This window comes from Homo sapiens, chromosome 11, assembly GCF_000001405.40.
Source record: "Homo sapiens chromosome 11, GRCh38.p14 Primary Assembly".
NCBI lineage: Eukaryota > Metazoa > Chordata > Mammalia > Primates > Hominidae > Homo > Homo sapiens.
This window is the reverse complement of record NC_000011.10, coordinates 96,230,874-96,249,090: the sequence shown is the minus strand read 5'-3', so window position 1 is coordinate 96,249,090 and position 18,217 is coordinate 96,230,874. Positions and strand designations below refer to the sequence as shown.

General features: G+C 39.5%; 1 protein-coding gene across 1 annotated transcript in view, besides 1 other annotated feature; it reads left to right on the top strand.

The window, feature by feature from the left end:
• MAML2 (mastermind like transcriptional coactivator 2) overlaps positions 1-18,217 on the top strand; it is a 366,598-nt gene that overhangs the window by 94,105 nt on the left and 254,276 nt on the right. The window lies entirely within an intron of this gene.
• Positions 5,395-5,544: an enhancer, noted in NCBI's record as "active region_5423". NCBI's record gives its function as "activates an Ori minimal core promoter by ATAC-STARR-seq in GM12878 lymphoblastoid cells {active_cell/tissue: GM12878}" and the evidence as "EXISTENCE:reporter gene assay evidence [ECO:0000049][PMID:35858748]".

Below are 18,217 nucleotides of genomic sequence, written 5' to 3'. Positions count from 1 at the left end.
TGTAATTGATCACTGAGTCAGGTGAAAGTCATTGGTGACTTTCAATCAGTGGTGTCCTGGTAAACTGGCTCTCTGAAAAGCAGTGACAACAGCAAAATCCTGATTTGTAGTGTTTACTAAATTTCCCTGTGGAAATATTCCCATCATAGTCAATTTCCAGCTACAAACAGTTTAACAACCAGCTTGCAAAGTTCTTGAATATTTAACAATTAGCTTCTGCTAGTTGCGCCACACACCACCTTAACAGGAGCCATTTTGTAGGAGTGGTGGAGATTGGAGTAGATCCATAAGAAATGAAATGAGAATTGGAGACAGTGAGTACAGACATTTTTAAGGAGTTCTAGTATAAAGAAATAAGGTGGGAACTGAACTATGACATGTAGTCAAGATTTTTTTTTGTATTTTTAAAATAAAAAATACAGTGGCATGTTTGTATGCAGATGAGAATGATCCAATTAGAGGGGGAAATCAATGAAAAAGGAGAAAGCAGGGAGAATTGCTGGGGTGAAGTCCCTGGGTGGGAAAGAGGAGGGGGTTCTAATGCATAGGGAGAGGGTAGTTTCATCTCCAGTAACAGTGTAGTAATAGCAGAGAATAAAAGTAGCCCTGTCCAATTAAGTGTAATGTGAGCCACAAAGACAATGTAAATTTTCTAGTAGCCACATTAAAAAGTAAAACACGCCAGGCATGGTGGCTCACACCTGTAATCTCAGCACTTTGGGAGGCCAAGGTGGATGGATCACTTGAGGTCAGGAGTTGGAGACTAGTCTGGCCAAAATGATGAAACCCCGCCTCTACTAAAAATACAAAATTAGCCAGGCATGGTGGCAGGTGCCTGTAGTCCCAGCTACCCGGGAGGCTGAGGTAGGAGAATCGCTTGAACCTAGGAGATGGAGGCTGCAGTGAGCGGAGATCATGCCACTGCACTCTGTTGCCTGGGCAACAGAGCCAGACTGTCTCAAAAAAAAAAAAAAAAAGTAAAAAAACAGGTGAAGTTAATTTTAATGATTTCATTTAACCCAATATGTACAAATTATTATTAAAATATGTAGTGAATATAAAACCATTAATGGGAAAATTTAATTTTCAAAATCCAGTACATTTTACACTAACAGCACATTTCAGTTTGAACTAGCCAGTTTTCAAGTATTCAACAGTAGGGACTATCATATTGGTGAAGGTGGGTATACATATCAGTTAAGTGGTCAGATGTGTTGGTGGAAGGTTGTTGGTGTGCTGATTGTTTCTATTTTCTCAGTGAAATAGGAATCAAGTTCATCCAGCAACTGGGAGTAAGAATTGGGAAGAAGGTGCTGGAGGTTTAGAAGAGAGAGGAAAAGGTGTGAAGTAGTCATGTAGGAGAATGAAAGAGTTAATGGAACCAGAAGAATGTGCTAGAATGGGTATAGCACCATTGGCCCATTTGAGGTTAGTGGTCCAGAATTTCCAGTGAGACTAACGATGCTGAGTTTGTTTTTCTTCACCATCTTCTGCCTAGCAGGGACAGGGGCAGGGGCAGTGGCAGTGGGCGTCTGCAAAGTGGACAAAGTTGTATTTAAACAGGGTAAAATTGATTGGAAAGCAGATGCCAATCTATCATTCTGGTAAAAAATGCTAAATTTTTCCCATAGGAAGTTTGACCTTTTTCTTTCTGATCTAGGCTTTATGCTTGTGGGTTGGGGTGGGGATATAAGATGTTAAGCAAGAGTGTGTGGGAACTTGAAAGCATAGTGACATTTTTTCGTCCACTGAACTGCTATCTCAGAATTCTTAGCAAATTCTCCAAACTGTTTCTCTAGAGTCACTTAACTGAGCTGTCTGTGCCCTCTTTCCTTAGAGGTGATCAAACTATTTCTGAAGGTTTACTTATTTTTTTTTTGCATGGTCTGAATCTGATATATACTTGTCAAGACTAAATGTGTGTGTTGAGCTGACTCCATATTTGAGGCTAGAAAGACATTAATGAGGGCTCTCTGTTCTCTGCTTGTAACCTGAAGCTGCCAGTCAACAGAATGAATCAGACAGTTTCCAGCAACACACTAAGGTCCTTATGTAAGGAGGATCACACGCAATTTTTGTCTGCAGAATTCCTCTCTGTATAATTATTCTTTTGATCATGCCACACATGAAAAGAAAGGCAACTGGAGTATGAATTATGTCCTTGTTTCACTTGGCATTAACAATAGAGACAGGGTGAGGAGACTGTGAGAACTACTGGTCTGAGGGAGGTGGTTCTCCATTCGTAATTGACAAATGCTGTGTGTGTCCACAACGGTTTCCTCAGAGCCAACCTCAAACTGTATATATTACATTGAACAGTCAACATGGGTAACTACAATCCTGGGTATGATACTGCAGTAAGTGCAGCCTGAACTGTCTCTACTGTGCATGTGGGAACAGTTCATTGTTTGTCACCAAATAATTCAGACATTTGACTCCATTCATACTTTGACTGAAACAATGCAGGAGTCTTCTCACTGGTTTTATACTAAAGAGATTGAGCACTTAATCTGTAGTGTACCTGAAATGGCTTTCAGAATTATCAGTTTACAAACAGAGTTTTTGGATATGTTGAGGAGGTAGATCGCATGCCATCTCCTCTCTGACGCCCTCCTTGACACCCCAGGCAGAAGCAATCACTGTGCTTGATGATGCCTTGTGCTTCCATAGCATTTTGTATGTAGTTCAACCATGTCCCCGAACATGAAATCCCTTTCAGAACTTCAGGGATTTGCATATGATGTTCTTTTGCCTTTTCTACTTATAAACACCTCCTTATACTTCAGAATCCAAAAAATGCCTGTTGAAGGGATGAATGATATGCTCTGTAGAGGAAATGACTTTCCCTGAGTTAATCACTCTTTCTTATGAGTCTCAACAAACTTTCTTATGAGTCCCTATGCTTCATTTTTGTCACTTATCCAGTTCTTAGGATGTATTTACCTGTTGGTCTCTTTCACAAGTCTGTAACTCTTTCCAGCATAGGGACCATGTTTCATGTTGCTTTGTGTCCCCAGTGCCTAGCATAGTACCTAGCACATGATAAGCCTCCACGTTTTTGTTGAATGTGAAATATAAAGAATTAAGCAGCTGGGCACAGTGGCTCACACCTGTAATCCCAGCACTTTGGGAGGTCGAGGGGGGCAGATCACGAGGTCAGGAGTTCGAAACCAGGCTGACCAACATGGTGAAACCCCGTCTCTACTAAAAATACAAAAATTAGCCAGATGTGGTGGCGCACACCTGTAATCCCAGCTACTCAGGAGGCTGAGGCAGGAGAATTGCTTGAACCCCGGAGGCAGAGGTTGCAGTGAGCCGAGATCGCACCGCTGCACTCCAGCCTGGGCAACAGAGTGAGACTCTGTCTAAAAAAAAAAAAAAAAAATTAGGTATGGGTGTGATTCAGGTGAACATAGAAATAGCTTGAGTTAGGGCACAATTTCATAGCCATACAAATTCATATTGAAGCAAGTCAGCAAACGTGGTGCATTTCAGATGAAACCTCAACGTGAAGATATATCAGTTTTAGACCAAAGCAGAAGTTTATATAAAGGATATAAGCTTTTGCCCTGTATACTCAGGAATTAAACTAAAAAGAAATCTACAAATTCATTTATAGATTATTTCAATTTGAGGCCTATAGATATGTGAGAAAGGTTTCTTTAAGGTTTAATGACCAAGTTCCATGTGAGCTCTTACTTGGGAAACAAAATTCTCACATGGCATTAATATACTATAAATTGTGATTTATCAAAACATTCTCATATCCTATCTAGGGTGAAATTTAATATTGCCAATAAACTTTCCACTCGAAAAAAGTGGTAAAAGTGTGCATGCTAAGCATGTTTTGTTTTGGAAAAAAAAAAAAAAAAAAAGAAGGATGACTGTTCGGAAGGCACTTTCCTGAAGGCTCCCTGAATTAATTTTTGCAAATTATTTGGAAAATTCAAAGAAAAATTGTCTTTTGAGAGATACACTGAGTATTATATTTTGTATGTCAGAGGAGTATTGAATTTCTTGTTGATATCAGTTGCATTGGCTTTTTTGGTTTTGCTTGTATTATTCATTGTTTCTACAGTTCAGTATGGATGTATAATCTCACATCTAACATCTGACATTTTAAGATACAGCATGTTCCTTTTGTTTCAGGTGGACAAAATAGATCCTTTTTTTAAGTATTTTGTGCACATCTTATGACTGTGTCTTTCCAAATAATACACATTTCATGTTGGATGGCATGGGTGTGTGGGTGATTGGATGCATGGATGGACAGACAGACGGATAGATGGATGAATGGGTGGATGGTTGAATAGTGTGTGATTGCTCTGAGAGTCCAGGTGCTGGGTTCAAGTCACAGCTTTGTTAACTCACTCCCTGGCCTATAGCAAATGAATGATACAAACCTCTGTTTCTTCAATGTAATCATAGTTCTGTAGAGTCGTAGGGGTGAAATGAAATAATGCATGTAAAGAACTTTGTGTTATAATTGGCACATAGTGCTCAGAAATGTTAGCTATTATTAATATAATAAAACAATAATCGATATATATGGCTATAACCATATAAACCATTTTTAATTTAAGGATGAATAATTACAACGTGTAGATATCATGAATGCATTGATTGTAATACACTTCAGAATACCAGTAATTTTCTAATCATTAGAGTTTAAGCTCTTCTATCCATATATTAGAAGTGTAACAACCACAAGCTTCCTTATCTACTTATAGAATTGCAAGCATAGCTTACATATGAAAACGTTCTTACACGTCATAATAGGGCAGCCAGTTGTATTAAGCACCTTGTCTTATTAAGATACCATTGTTGTGTGCAGTCAAATGTTTGTAGTTTCTTGGTAAGTGCCCTTAAGGCAGATGTCTTACCCTCCAGGGAGACACTGAGGCTCTCAAAAGGGGTAATAATATTTCAAAACATCTGGAACACGGTTTGAGCCATTAGGCCGCACAGCCCCAAGTTTTTATTAATTTGTACTCCAGACTTCACTAGAGGAAAAAGCAGCACGATTTTTAGGCGAAGGAATAAGCCACTTGAGGTCCGCCTCTGAATCAGTTTCACAAAGAAAAGTCCATCAGTGCAGAGGAAGGCCAGCGGACCTGAGTACCTATGTCGTGGTTAAAGAAGGATGACTGGGCCGGGCGCGGTGGCTCACGCCAGTAATCCCAGCACTTTGGGAGGCCAAGATGGGCGGATCACGACAAACCATCCTGACTAACACGGTGAAACCCTTTCTCTACTAAAAATACAAAAAATTAGCCAGGCGTGGTGGCGTGCGCCTGTAGTCCCAGCTACTCGGAAGGCTGAGGCAGGAGAATGGCATGAACCTGGGAGGCGGAGCTTGCAGTGAGACAACATCGCGCCACTGCACTCCAGCCTGGGCGACAAAGCGAGACTCCGTCTCAAAAAAAAAAAAAAAAGAAAAAGAAGGATGACTGTTCAGAAGGCACTTTCAGCTTTTCTCATAGTTTTAACATGTGGGTCTTCCTTCTTGGAGGTATGGGAAAAACAGTCTAAGCCTGATGAGAAAAGGCTGTGGATTTCTCAGGTGATGGCTCTCGCGAGGTCTGAGCCGCGCGGCTGGGGTCTGGCTCCGCGCGTGCCTGGACACGCACAGATTGTTTTGAACTTGAGCAACGCCTCCTGCTAGCTTTCCACCCGATTTCTGTCTGTTCAGAGCTGGCCTCCTCTAGCAGGAAGTGCCTGCCGTTTAAGGAGTGCAGGCAATTCCCGACAGCCAACCCCGCCTCCCCCGCCTCCTTGCTCTGCTTCCTTCTCATTGGTCTGGAGGCCGGCCGGGCCTTATCCTCGCATTTTTAAAATGTCTTCTTTTGTCAGCTTGAGGTTTTCCAGAATTTAAAAGCGGAAAGGAAGAGAGAAGGACAAGGAAGCTATAAAAGACACATTAAATAAACTCTACTGGGAACAAGTGTGTGTGTGTGTAAGAGAGAATGTAACTTTTGCAAGGGAAGTTGGTAGATTGCTTATTATTTTAACAAAGAGGGGGTGTGTGTGTATGTGTATGTGTGTGTGTGTGTGTCCCTGAACTGGAGAAGCAGATGTTTAAAGGAGGCAGCAGGAAGCAGTTCTGACAAATGAAAGGATTTTTGATTGAATTCATGAGCTAAAGTTTCCTGCCAGTAATGCATTCAACCCTAGGCTACATAAAAGAAAAACCTATATAATTGAGGTTTAATTGCTTAACTTTTAAACATGCAACCAGAACAGGCAAGTGTAGCTTCCACAGGTAAACCTAAGTGATGCTGTAAGCTGATTTGGGGTTATTATTTATTGGCACTTCATAAAATTATGATCCTTTCCCCTTTATCATGCTCCTGCTTTTTCAGTGCTTGAGTGCCAGAGTCTATCCCTTATTGTCTGTGTAAGTTAAAATCCTTGGTGCACACTTTTTTTTTCTCTTTAAGCTGTTTCGTGAGCAGGTGCAGATGGCTTTCATGAACTGAGCCAAATGAAATGCTCTGTTTCAGCCTGCAGAAACTAAAGTTTTTAAAAACGGAACAACTGTTTTGTGCTGTACCTATAATTCAACTGGAAAATGTTTTCCCCCTTTTATGATGAAAACTGCCATCTCTGTTTCTCTTACTGAATCTGGTTTATTTACAGCCTTAAGGAAATCTTGTCACTAAAATCCACCCTCACCACTCCTCCAGTATTTTTCAGTCTGATGATTTCACAACCAGAGCCATTGCAAAATAAGAGTACATGGGCATTTTTTTAAAATCCCTAGTGATTTTTATGAAGTTTTTTCCTGTCTTGTTTCTCATTGTATAATTAAGTAAACAGTTTCAGGAATACTCAAAACATTGAGAGTGCTCTACCTTTTCATAAATATAATATGAAATAAATCACTTTATTCATCAAGGGTTTTAATTTTAAACCAAGCAACAGAAAGAGGGGCATCCACTTGGTTTGGTGCTTGCATTGTTGAATCCTCTTGAGAAACAAAGTAAAAAAGTGAATTAACTTCCTTGGATCATAGAAAGCTCTAGTGGCCATGGTTGTGATGAACCTTAGCTTTCTGCTCCAATCACACTTGCATGGGCTCTCATGCAAAGATATATAACAAGTAACCATAACCCAAAGCTGTAATTTTGCTAATTTGCTGAACCCTGAACTGAATAAAACCCAAATATTAATGTTGTAACTGAAGCAAAATATGTTCAAAAATAGACCAAACAAACTAATTCAAACCAGAACGATACTTAGATATTTTCTAAAATGATTGAACAGAGCAAAACTAGAATTTCGAAAACTTCCACAAGTCTAACCTAAAACAAACCAAGGGCCCATTGGTTTGCATCGTTTTATGAGAGCCCAGCAGGAAGTGGAGGACTTAAATTCTCCTCCTCTGTTGACTTCCGCAATCAACACTGTCCCAGGGACACTCACTCTGGCAACAAATGTTCACAGGCAATACCTGTTATGTTGACAGAGAAGCCAATAGGGCAAGGTTTCTTACCCGTGGCACTATTTTCTTTCTGGACTAAGTCCTTTTTGTATGGGGCTGTCCTGTGCATTATAAGATATTTACCAGCATCTCTGGCCTCTACCCACTAGGTGCCAGTAGACCCCTCCCTCCAGTTACAAAAGTTAAAAATATCTCCAGACATTGCCAAATGTCTCCTGGGGGGCCAAATCACCCCCTGTCAAGGACCACTGCAATAGGGGAATAGTCGTCAGCCTCCCACATTGTTTCAAAAGGATTTTTTAGTAGATGTTGGAAAGAGAAGCTGTGCACTGATCTTCCCAGAAGGACCACCTAGTAGGAAATAAAAGCCAGTCTCAAAGTCCTCATTTCAGAGTTGGTTTCTCTGCTAAAGCACTAAATCTTTGATGCTGAGAAGACAATGTATGGTACTACTGTGTGGCAGAACTAGTGAAAATACTGTAAGTTGTTGAAGACATTTGTAAATATATACTATAATAAAAACTCTACCTCACAACAGCCGATGGTGTTGGTGATCAAAAAATAATTGCAGAATCTTCTGATGACACTTCAATTGCTGTTTATCTTCATATTCTGGAAAAATAGCAGAAGAAATAGTTCAACCTATTAGTCTAGTAGTGTTTCTAGTTCACAGCATAGGGAGATGCTGTTTGATCCAGACTGCCTACATACCCTACAGGGAATTATTATATATTTGAGTGCTATTTCAGGAGAATTAGACATCTTAATTATAACTTTTTTAAGTTTGTGTGTATATAGTATATGCTTCTGAAATGAAATTTATAGTTATTCCGTACTTCAATGAGACTTTTCATTTTTATATACTGTAATAGTACCTTTCTGCTGGCAGTTTTCATTTAGTAGGAAGACTAATTTGTACATCAGAGAATTATTTGGAACAGTGGGTCTTGCCAAGATTATAATGTGGTAATTGCATTTAAAATTGAGCTGTGCCAATGCATTGCAAAAATAATAATAAGCCCACTAAATATATAACACTGACACAGACAGTTCATCAGCTTTCTTTTTTTTTTTTTTTTTTTTTTTTTTGAGACGGAGTCTCGCTCTGTCGCCCAGGCCGGACTGCGGACTGCAGTGGCGCAATCTCGGCTCACTGCAAGCTCTGCCTCCCGGGGTTCACGCCATTCTCCTGCCTCAGCCTCCCGAGTAGCTGGGACTACAGGCGCCCGCCACCGCGCCCGGCTAATTTTTTGTATTTTTAGTAGAGACGGGGTTTCACCTTGTTAGCCAGGATGGTCTCGATCTCCTGACCTCGTGATCCACCCGCCTCGGCCTCCCAAAGTGCTGGGATTACAGGCGTGACATCAGCTTTCTTAATATGGAAAAAACAAACCAAATTTTCTATTTTTTGTATGTCAGGAAAAACCTGGAGAAAGAATAATCACAGTATAAAATTGAACAGCTAATTGAGTTTTTGAAATGGTTTATTTTAATGGTGATTTAGCATTCTAAGACACAGACCCTTAGCTTTTGTTTAGCTTTTGTCTTTGAATGTAGCTTCTAAATTGAAGTGCTGTAATAGCCACAAAGAAAAAAGTTATTAGTTAATATATTCTCATAGACTGTAACTGATGATGATGCCTATGAAGCCTATAAGAAAAATTCCCTTAATCTCAATGATCTCTACAGCCACCCTATTCAGAATCAATTGTTTCCCTAATTTGCCAATGGGAATAGTCCAGCTCAGAAATGTTAAGAAGACATGGACAGGTCACCACAACTGTGTCATAGTGGCTGGGAGAAAGGGGTCAGGGGGTGAAGAATACTAACAAATGTTTGAGAACTTACTAATATACCTACATTATTGACCAACATTCATTCTACTCTGGGACATGACCACCACTGCTGCTCTATGACATGGGTGCTATTATTCTATGTCCTAATGATACAATAGACTCCAAATGGAAACTCCAAGTGGACAGTTAGTAAATGGTAGCCCCCAAATTTGAAACCAAGGTTTCTTTCTACTTTTTTTTTTCTTGATTCGCCTGTACTTTGAATTCAAAAACATAAACTCAAGATACATCAATTCACAGTAATTTAGAAACTCTGAATCATGAAAAAAGCATAATCACATTCCAGCCTCAGTTTTTAGGACAACTCAAACTCTGAACATTCTTGATTTCGTCCTAGGAATCTGCCTTTACTCTGAAATTGACGAAAATAGCCATAGGCTTTCTATCAGTCTCTTCTAAGCTTCCTGAGAGAAGTGCTGGTATTGGCAGGTACAGCCTCCAATAGGGGTCAACAGCTATTCACTTCCGTCTCTTCTACTGCCATCACTCAAGGAAGGAAAGAAAAGCCACCTCAGTGGGCTGGAACCTAGAGCTTTTTCTGTCTCCTCCCAAGTATTAAATCATTCAAACCTAACACTATATAACAGCCATTTAGAGAACAGCACCACATTTACTTTATGGCAGCCAGAAGGATTGGGATCTGTTGTATCATCATGTTAAAGTTTAGGAAAGTGAGTATTTAATGGACCAATTCTGACTTTAAAATGTTAGTGTGATTCCCATCTTTGGTTGCAGCTGTAGTTGTTTCAACCTGTCTTTTCCCTAGCTGGCAAGCTTGTGCCTAATCTTAGGTTCAATCCTGGTGTCACAGCTTGCTTATTACTTGGACTTTGGCCAGAATACCTCTTCATTTTCTATTTTCTCCACAGACTTCTGAAACCCAAAGTGGCTACTTACTCCTTTGGACACTGATCCTTCAACAAATCCCTTTTTAAATTCTCTCTTGCTTAGTTCTGTTTCTCCAAGAAGCTTCCATCAACTATATTTCATCAGTGACTCAATAATGTTCTACCCCATTTTGTAAACACATTATTTATCTGACAAGCTCTGTTCATACCAGACACTTGAATAAGCTCACATGCCTCTACATAGCTCTTCTAGTAATTTCTGGCTCATTAAACCTTAGTAAACCCACTTCTACATATCATATCAATAAAGGAAGTTTTGTCTGCAGCGATAATAGCTACAATGGGATCAAACTTTGGAAAAAAGTTATCGATCCAGGAGCTAAACCTAAATGTCATTGTGAGGGAGTTTGCAAAGTGAAAACCATAGCAATCATGGGAATGCTGCAGTAGAGACAGCAAAGTTTGGACTCACAGCAGAAATTTCATTCAAAATTGGGTTCTTTTTCTCTGGTCTCACAAATTATTTCCAGAGGTTAGCCACTTAAGGAAAAATAAATCTTGTCTCACTTGCAAGTAAAGAATGTGTTATTTGACTTGAAACATAACACAGATACACCTTGGCTCAGTTTTGTTTTGTGTCTGATGAGCTTAATATTGCTCTCCTCCTTTATACAAGCCCTTCACTGATTTCATATGTGAGGTGTCCTAGCATGAAATGCTTAAATCAGACTCTGTAATAGTGTAAATGGCAGTTTTATTGTCTCTTCCATATTAATGAAACCCCCAACTAAACAACTAAAGCTCTGTACTAATTGCTTGTCCTGAGAGCTGGGTATTTCAGGTCTAATTCTCTTTAGAACACCAGCTGGCATAGAGTATACAAAAGCTCCTTTGGTTACTTTAACCACTTAAGTACTAATTTGGTGGCACGGAAAGCATTAGACTTTGTCCATACAGGCAGAACAAAGCAGAATATTGAGCAATTTTTCAAATTTTATCAATGTAGTAAGTCAGCTCAGTTGATGTTTCTAGTTAAAACAGATGCTTGAGTTGTCAGGATGCATTCAAACAAAGTGTTTGTTAAAATAAACATTAGCTTAGCAGATTCCTTTCATTGCATCACATTCTAAACAATGAGCAAGGTGTAAACTCTGGAAATCTGTGAGCCTTGAAGAAAGTAGGCGTGCATAAAAGATTATGTAGTTTTCCGAATGTGTTGTATCCACAGCCAGATTCAATACACGACAATTACATATTACATTAATGAATAAAAGTTTGGTCTGCAGTTGCCTGTGACACAACTATCAAATCTTTCAAGCAATGTGAAAGCTGCTATAGATTGAAAAATAAATATTTTTTGGATGTCCACTATGTGCCTAACAGTTTGTTTAGATATTATGGAAACACAGCTTCACTTATCGGGAGGTGACAATTTAATTGGAGTTAGAAAATCAACTCCTGTGAAACAATTATAAAGAAGAAATGAAATGTATTATGTGGTACAGGCTATTAGAGCCAAGGATAATAAGGTGTTAATTGTGCGATAGGCAGTAAGTCTCAAAGGAGTTAAGGAAGGTAGAGATCAACATGGGCTGAGGTCATCCAGGAAGACTTTCAAAACAAACCAACAATTTTTATAAGCCCCTTCTATGTTCAAAGCTTTGTGAGGGCGAGAGAGAAGTGTGATCACAGAGATGGGACTTAAGCAGGATCTGAGAGGATGAGAAGAATACTGACTGGCCAAGAAGAGAAGGTAAATTACTATAAAATACAGAACTCGGGGAGGGGACCGGACAAGGGAGAACCATAGCTACAATAATCAGCTTAACATTGCAGTTCTTCCTTTGAAACTGCTTAGACTGATGCAGATATGCCAGCTTAGATTTTTTAATCCATTTTGGCTCATGCTTGGTCTGCAAAATATTAGCATCCAGTTCAGAGGTTTCTCTGTCAGAAAGAGAAAAGCAGACAGTGCTGTTCTTTGGGATTTTGGAAGATGATCTAGCAGAAATGATAGATGGCACTCACTAGCATCTTTTTCTTGCAAAGAAAAGCACTTATTGAAAACAAAGCTGCCAGCCAAACTATATAATATGTGGTAAAGGCAGAGAGCTCAGTATACCATAGATATTTACTAAGAAGACAGTAACCAAGCTCTGAATGTTATCTGTAGGGTTGATAACATCCAGATATCAATGTTATTATCAACCCTCCAGATTGATGACATATAACAATGTTATATGTTAATATATATTCTCTTTGGGTTTTATAAAAACTCTCAAGCGGCTTCATTTGATAGACTCTCCTTTCTGTTTTAAAATCTAACATTTTAAAGTGAGTACGCATTCATGGTGCTTTCTAAATTCCACGTATGCATATTTCTATTCAAAGTCTCCTACTATGGAGACTAAGAACGAATGATTTCTGGCTCAGAGACTCAAAGATACCCCAAAATACCTTTATTTTCCAGGCAGAAAGAATGTGGGAAAAAAATGTTTATTTGAAAGATACAGACTTTCGGGTTTTAAAATAATAGTTATTAGAACTGAGGTCTAGTGCATTTTCTGATCTCTATTTAAAGCTCCGTAGGTGATTTTGTTTTTAAGATAACATAATATCTCAAATCTTTTATTCTGTCAAGTAGCAATTGCAAAAGATTCTTTGCTGTTGTGAAGATTTTGGAAGAGAGGAGACAATTCTTGCTATACTATCATTTCTTTAATTTGGCAGCTTTATGTCATATGTCTAGAAAGAAGTTGTGTAATGCTGCATATGCCAGTGGCACAGAAGTTTTTGACAGTGAGCAGCCCCATTTCTATTGAAAAAAGAAAGTTTCGCCTTTGTCATGAATTCAAAGTGCTCCTTCAGTGGGATGACTCCTGTCATTTCCCTCAGGGTCCCAGAGCGACAGAGGAGGTAGAGCACTCACTTACCAAAACATGACAGAAAAGAGCATTCATCTCTGGCACAAGTGATGCAATGCATTTCTTGGGAAGGGGGTGCAGTGGGCAGATGTGCTGCCTTGTCTAAAACAGATTTTACTGCTGTTTATAGTTCTCTCTCCAGCTCTAACCCGCAGCTTTCTGGTATGACTGTGATACAGCAGCAAGGGGTTTTACTCGGTACTGAATGCTTGAAATAATGTGAAGTGTTTCAGTGTAAAACCCTGGTTTACATTGAAAAAGAAAGTGTACATCTTACAAAAAGAAAGATGCCTTTTTTAATTGATTTGGATTCCTTTTAAAAATAAACTCCTTTTAAAAATTGAGAGGTCTCAATCCCCTTAGAACACAGACATTTAAAGAGAATTAATAAGGAATAGATGATCACCAGGGCCAGCCCTCCTTACTTTACAAATAAGAAACCAAACCTGAGGAAAGTAATTACTGGCCCAAAGTCACATAGAAGTTTACTGGCAGGATGGAGTGAGTCTAAAATCAAGGTCTCCTGACTTTCAGTTCAAAAGAATAATAGAAGAGGGAAATCATTCCTCTAGATCAGGGGTCAGCAAACTTGTTCTATTAAGAGCCAGAGGGTACATATTTTAGGCTTTGTGGACCATATGACTATTGGCAGCTACTCAACTACTCAGCTCTGTCCTTGGAGCCCAAAAGCAGCCATAGACAATACATAAACAAAAGAGTGTGTCTATGTTCCAATAAAACTTTATTTACAAAAACAGCCTGCAGGCCAGATTTGGCCCTTGAGTCATAGTTTGCTGATGTTTGCTCTGGATCTAAAGGAGAAAATAAGCATGGAAGTCTCGTTGGGAGCTTCTTTATGAGCCACATCCCAAACTTGGTCTGTTATGGAGAATGTCAATTTTTCATAGGTCCAGAGGGTGCTATTAATTAGCTAAAATTGCTCTGACTCAGGCAAAACTGACTCTTTTTATAGCCTTCTTGAGAAAAGGTTGTTTATGAGAATTTCAAAGTATTGAAGAGTCATTTTTCAGGATTGTCTTTGTGTCACCATTGTTCCACTTAAATGTGAAAGATTTATGTTTCTATATTCCTTTTAGAAGTTGAATGCATTCACAACAGGGTGTTCCATTATCAGTGTTAGATATTGTTCACTTATCTCTTAAAAAATTTAAGTACGTATCTTTTTTTCAGAAACACAATTCCAGAGTTGTGGCTTAACAGAAGTTAAAAAATGGAAATGAAGTTAAGTTTTCCTGAAAGGCAACCATATTTGTACAGCAAAATTCCTCTTGGACCATAAAGAAAGCTTGAAGGTGTTTTTTAATTTTGCAAGTATGTGCATGCATATGTGTGCTTGTGTGTGTGTGAGAAAGATAGAGATACAGATAGAAAAAGAGACAGACAGAAAGAGAGGGAGAGACATCTCTGGGAGTGAGTCAAATGGAATACCTACATTGGTGACTGAGTGTCCTGGAATTAAAATCTGCTATCCCATTTTTAAAATGTATGTATGTGTTTATTTATTTATTTATTTTTTGAGATGGAGTTTTGCTATTGTTTCCCAGGCTGGAGTGCAATGGCGTGATCTCGGCTCACTGCAACCTCCGCCTCCCGGGTTCAAGTGATTCTCCTGCCTCCTCCTCCCAAGTAGCTGGGATTACAGGCATGTGCCACCACACCTGGCTAATTTTGTATTTTTAGTAGAGACATGGTTCCTCCACGTTGGTCAGGCTGGTCTCGAACTCCTGACCTTAGGTGACCCGCCCGCCTTGGCTTCCCAAAGTGCTGGGATTACAGGTGTGAGCCACCATGCCTGGCTCTGTTATCCCATTTTAACTGCTTGGTGTGTTCAATGTCTCAAGGTATATTGGAGTTAGATCAGCGTACCCTCACTTGGGCACACATACAGGGTTCTGCTATTCCATATGCATAAATGTTTGAAAAGTGATCCTTTAGGAAGTATATTGTTTTTGCCAGTCTTAATCCAGAAGCAAGACTTAAATATAGGATGGAAAGACATAGGATGGAGACAGTGCTGACTGAGGCAAGAAATGGAGAGAGGGCTGGATTTCTAATTTTGGAGGCCCACCTGGCCACCACTTCTTCTGAGCAGGTGCAGACTACTTCTTCGCTTCTTCTGTTTCATCTCTTCCTCTTGTTCTTCTTCATTCACTTCACTCCTTTTTCTAACACTGAATACCAACTACACGGCAGGTGAAAGAGGTGATGTATCACAACTGGCCTAGGAGAAAATCATTTTGTTTTCTATTTCCTTCATCTCCCATATGCCAAGGTATTATAAAGAATGGGGGTCAGGCATGGTAGCTTATGCCTGTAATCCCAGCACTTTAGGAGGCAGAGGCAGGAAGATAGCTTGAAACTAGGAGTTTGAGACCAGCCTGGGCAGCACAGCAAGACCCCTGTCTCTACAAAAAATTTAAAAATTAGCTGGATGTGGTGGTGTACACCTATTGTCCTAGCTACTAAGGTGGCTGAGGCAGGAGGATCGATTGAGCCTAGGAGGTTAAGCCTGCAGTAAGCTATGATTGCACCACTACACTCCAGCCTGGGTAACAAGAGTAAGACACTGTATCTTAAATTAAGAAAAAAAAAAAAAGAATTTAAGAGTAGGGAAAACACATGAATGTCTGTTTTTTTTCCTGACATAAATGTTGCATTTTTAAAGATAATACTTTTATCTATCTGTGAAGATTGTTTTTTAGAGTGAATGAAAGAAAAATTATTTAAAAGTTTCTTTTACTAGGAATTATTTAGTAAAGCCTCCTTTCCTGTGGTCATGTTAGTCTCTAGAACAAATCCAGTATCAGTATAATAAATAATTTATTGTACTCTAGCACTCAAACTTGCTTTTCTATTGGTGACAGATATTGTTTTTTCTTTGTTTGCTTTAGAAGTTTGTGTAAATGTTTTCATTGCATTAGTGACAGCTTTAAAAAATTGGTCTTAAGAGCAAATAATTAGAGTGTTAATATCCTTCTCTCAAACTAGACACATGATAGGATATTGGGATTCATTTTATTTTATTTTGTTTTACTCATGCTCACAGATCAGGGCTTAAATAAGAAGGCTGATTTCTTACTTTTCTCATCAATTTTCAGGTTTCATTTTGAAGGAAGTAAGAGAGTATGTTGGCCCAATTTGTGGTTCTAATACTTCAGCAATGCGGTCCAGCATTCTGGCCTCCATATCTGTGAACCCACATTCTCCTCTTAGAAATGCCCTCCTTGGCCGGGCGCGGTGGCTCACGCCTCTAATCCTAAGCACTTTGGGAGGCTGAGATAGGCGGATCGCGAGGTCAGGAGATCGAGACCGTCCTGGCTAACACGGTGAAACCCCGTCTCTACTAAAAATACAAACAAAATTAGCCGGGCGTGGTGGCGGGCGCCTGTAGTCCCAGCTACTCGGGAGGCTGAGGCAGGAGAATGGCATGAACCGGGGAGGCGGAGCTTGCAGTGAGCCGAGATCGCACCATTGCACTCCAGCCTGGGCGACTGAGTGAGATTCCATCTCAAAGAAAAAAAAAAAATGCCTTCCTTTTCTTTCCACCCACCCACATCCTACCCAGACATCAAGTTCCCTCTTAACACCATAGGCCTTTAGGAAGCTCTCCTTGGATAATTGCCCACCACAGTGATCCTTATTCTCTCGGAATTTCTGTAGCACTTTTAGTTTATGCCAAACAATTTCTCACTTAATTATATGTTCTCTTGGATCACTCTCTAGTGGTTTAAAGCATAGTGTTACGCACATAATCTGTGCAGCCGTTTGAAGAAAAGGCACGTGGCTCATGGAGGAGCCAAAGACGTGATGCTTAGGGAAGACCACAAGTACCCATAGGGAGGAATCATCTTGGGGGGATCTAAATTTGCCCCTCAGACTCACAAGCACAGTGATGTGAATGGCAGGATACCACATGTTACTACATCAGCCAGAGGCAAACTCATCTTCCTCGGATTCATCAGATTGATTCTAATTTATTAGTTTTCAAAATAAAATATCCCTATCTAGCATAACTAGACACCTACGTCCTCAGGTACCTTCAGGTGAGCTCTTTGAGTTTAGTTAGAGGCATCAGAACTCTTGGTGAGCATGGAATCAAGGCAAAAGCGACTAGTCAGGTGAATCACAGGTTTAAGGATTAGAACAAGAAGATTGGTGACATATTTTTTAACCTAAGGAGATTCCTGCCCACAAGACTGGGTAGGTAGTGTCCTTCTGTACGATGAGCTTGGATAGTGGACAGTGCTTCCTTGACTGCTTACTGTCCTGGCAAAGTGCTTACTTGGAGGATTACTCTGCAGCTCTCTCATTGTTCCCATGAGTGACCAACTCTCTTTCCAACTCATACATTTGTTTTTCATAAGGTCTTAAATATAGTCGGCAGTTTCCAGTCAAGTCCTATTCTCTTTCAGTTGAGTTTTACAAAAATCCCTCTCTTGTATGTAGAACAATCTCATTTCTGCCATTCCCAAGTCCTCAGGGTGCATCTCATTGTCGTCTTCCTTTACATCCTACAGTAGGTACCACTAAATATTACGTGATTGATTATCTCCCAGCTCCAGTATAAAATCCTTAATGGCGTAGGCTACAGAAACATTTATTTTATCCCACATTTATGAAACAAGCATATTTAGCATCTACTGTATTTCAGTATTATTCAAGTTAATAGGAATACAGAAATCAATACAACGCATTTCCTTTCTGTAGAGACTTTACATTTAAAAGACAGGTGTGTAAAACTAGTACAATAAAGTGTTTTCGGAGTTGTGAGGGCTACAGATGGTGATACACGAAAGAGGAAATAATTTTACCTGTGGGAATCAGGAGAGTTTTTATATAGAGAGAAATATATTTATTAAAACCCCCTATATATGATTTTTTCTTATAAATTATTTTAGATACCAATCCAGATTATTCAAATCTTGACCTCTTTCTCATTCACATCTATTCGCTTGTCATTAAATACTCATGCCTAGTCTAAGTTTGGAATGAAAATGTCACAAGACATATCTTTCACTATTTCCTGATTTACTAAACATGGAAATGTAGCTCAGGACCTGAGCATTTAGTCATCTCATGTGACCATGAGGACATTAAATAAGGAAGGAAATGCAGAAGTGAGTG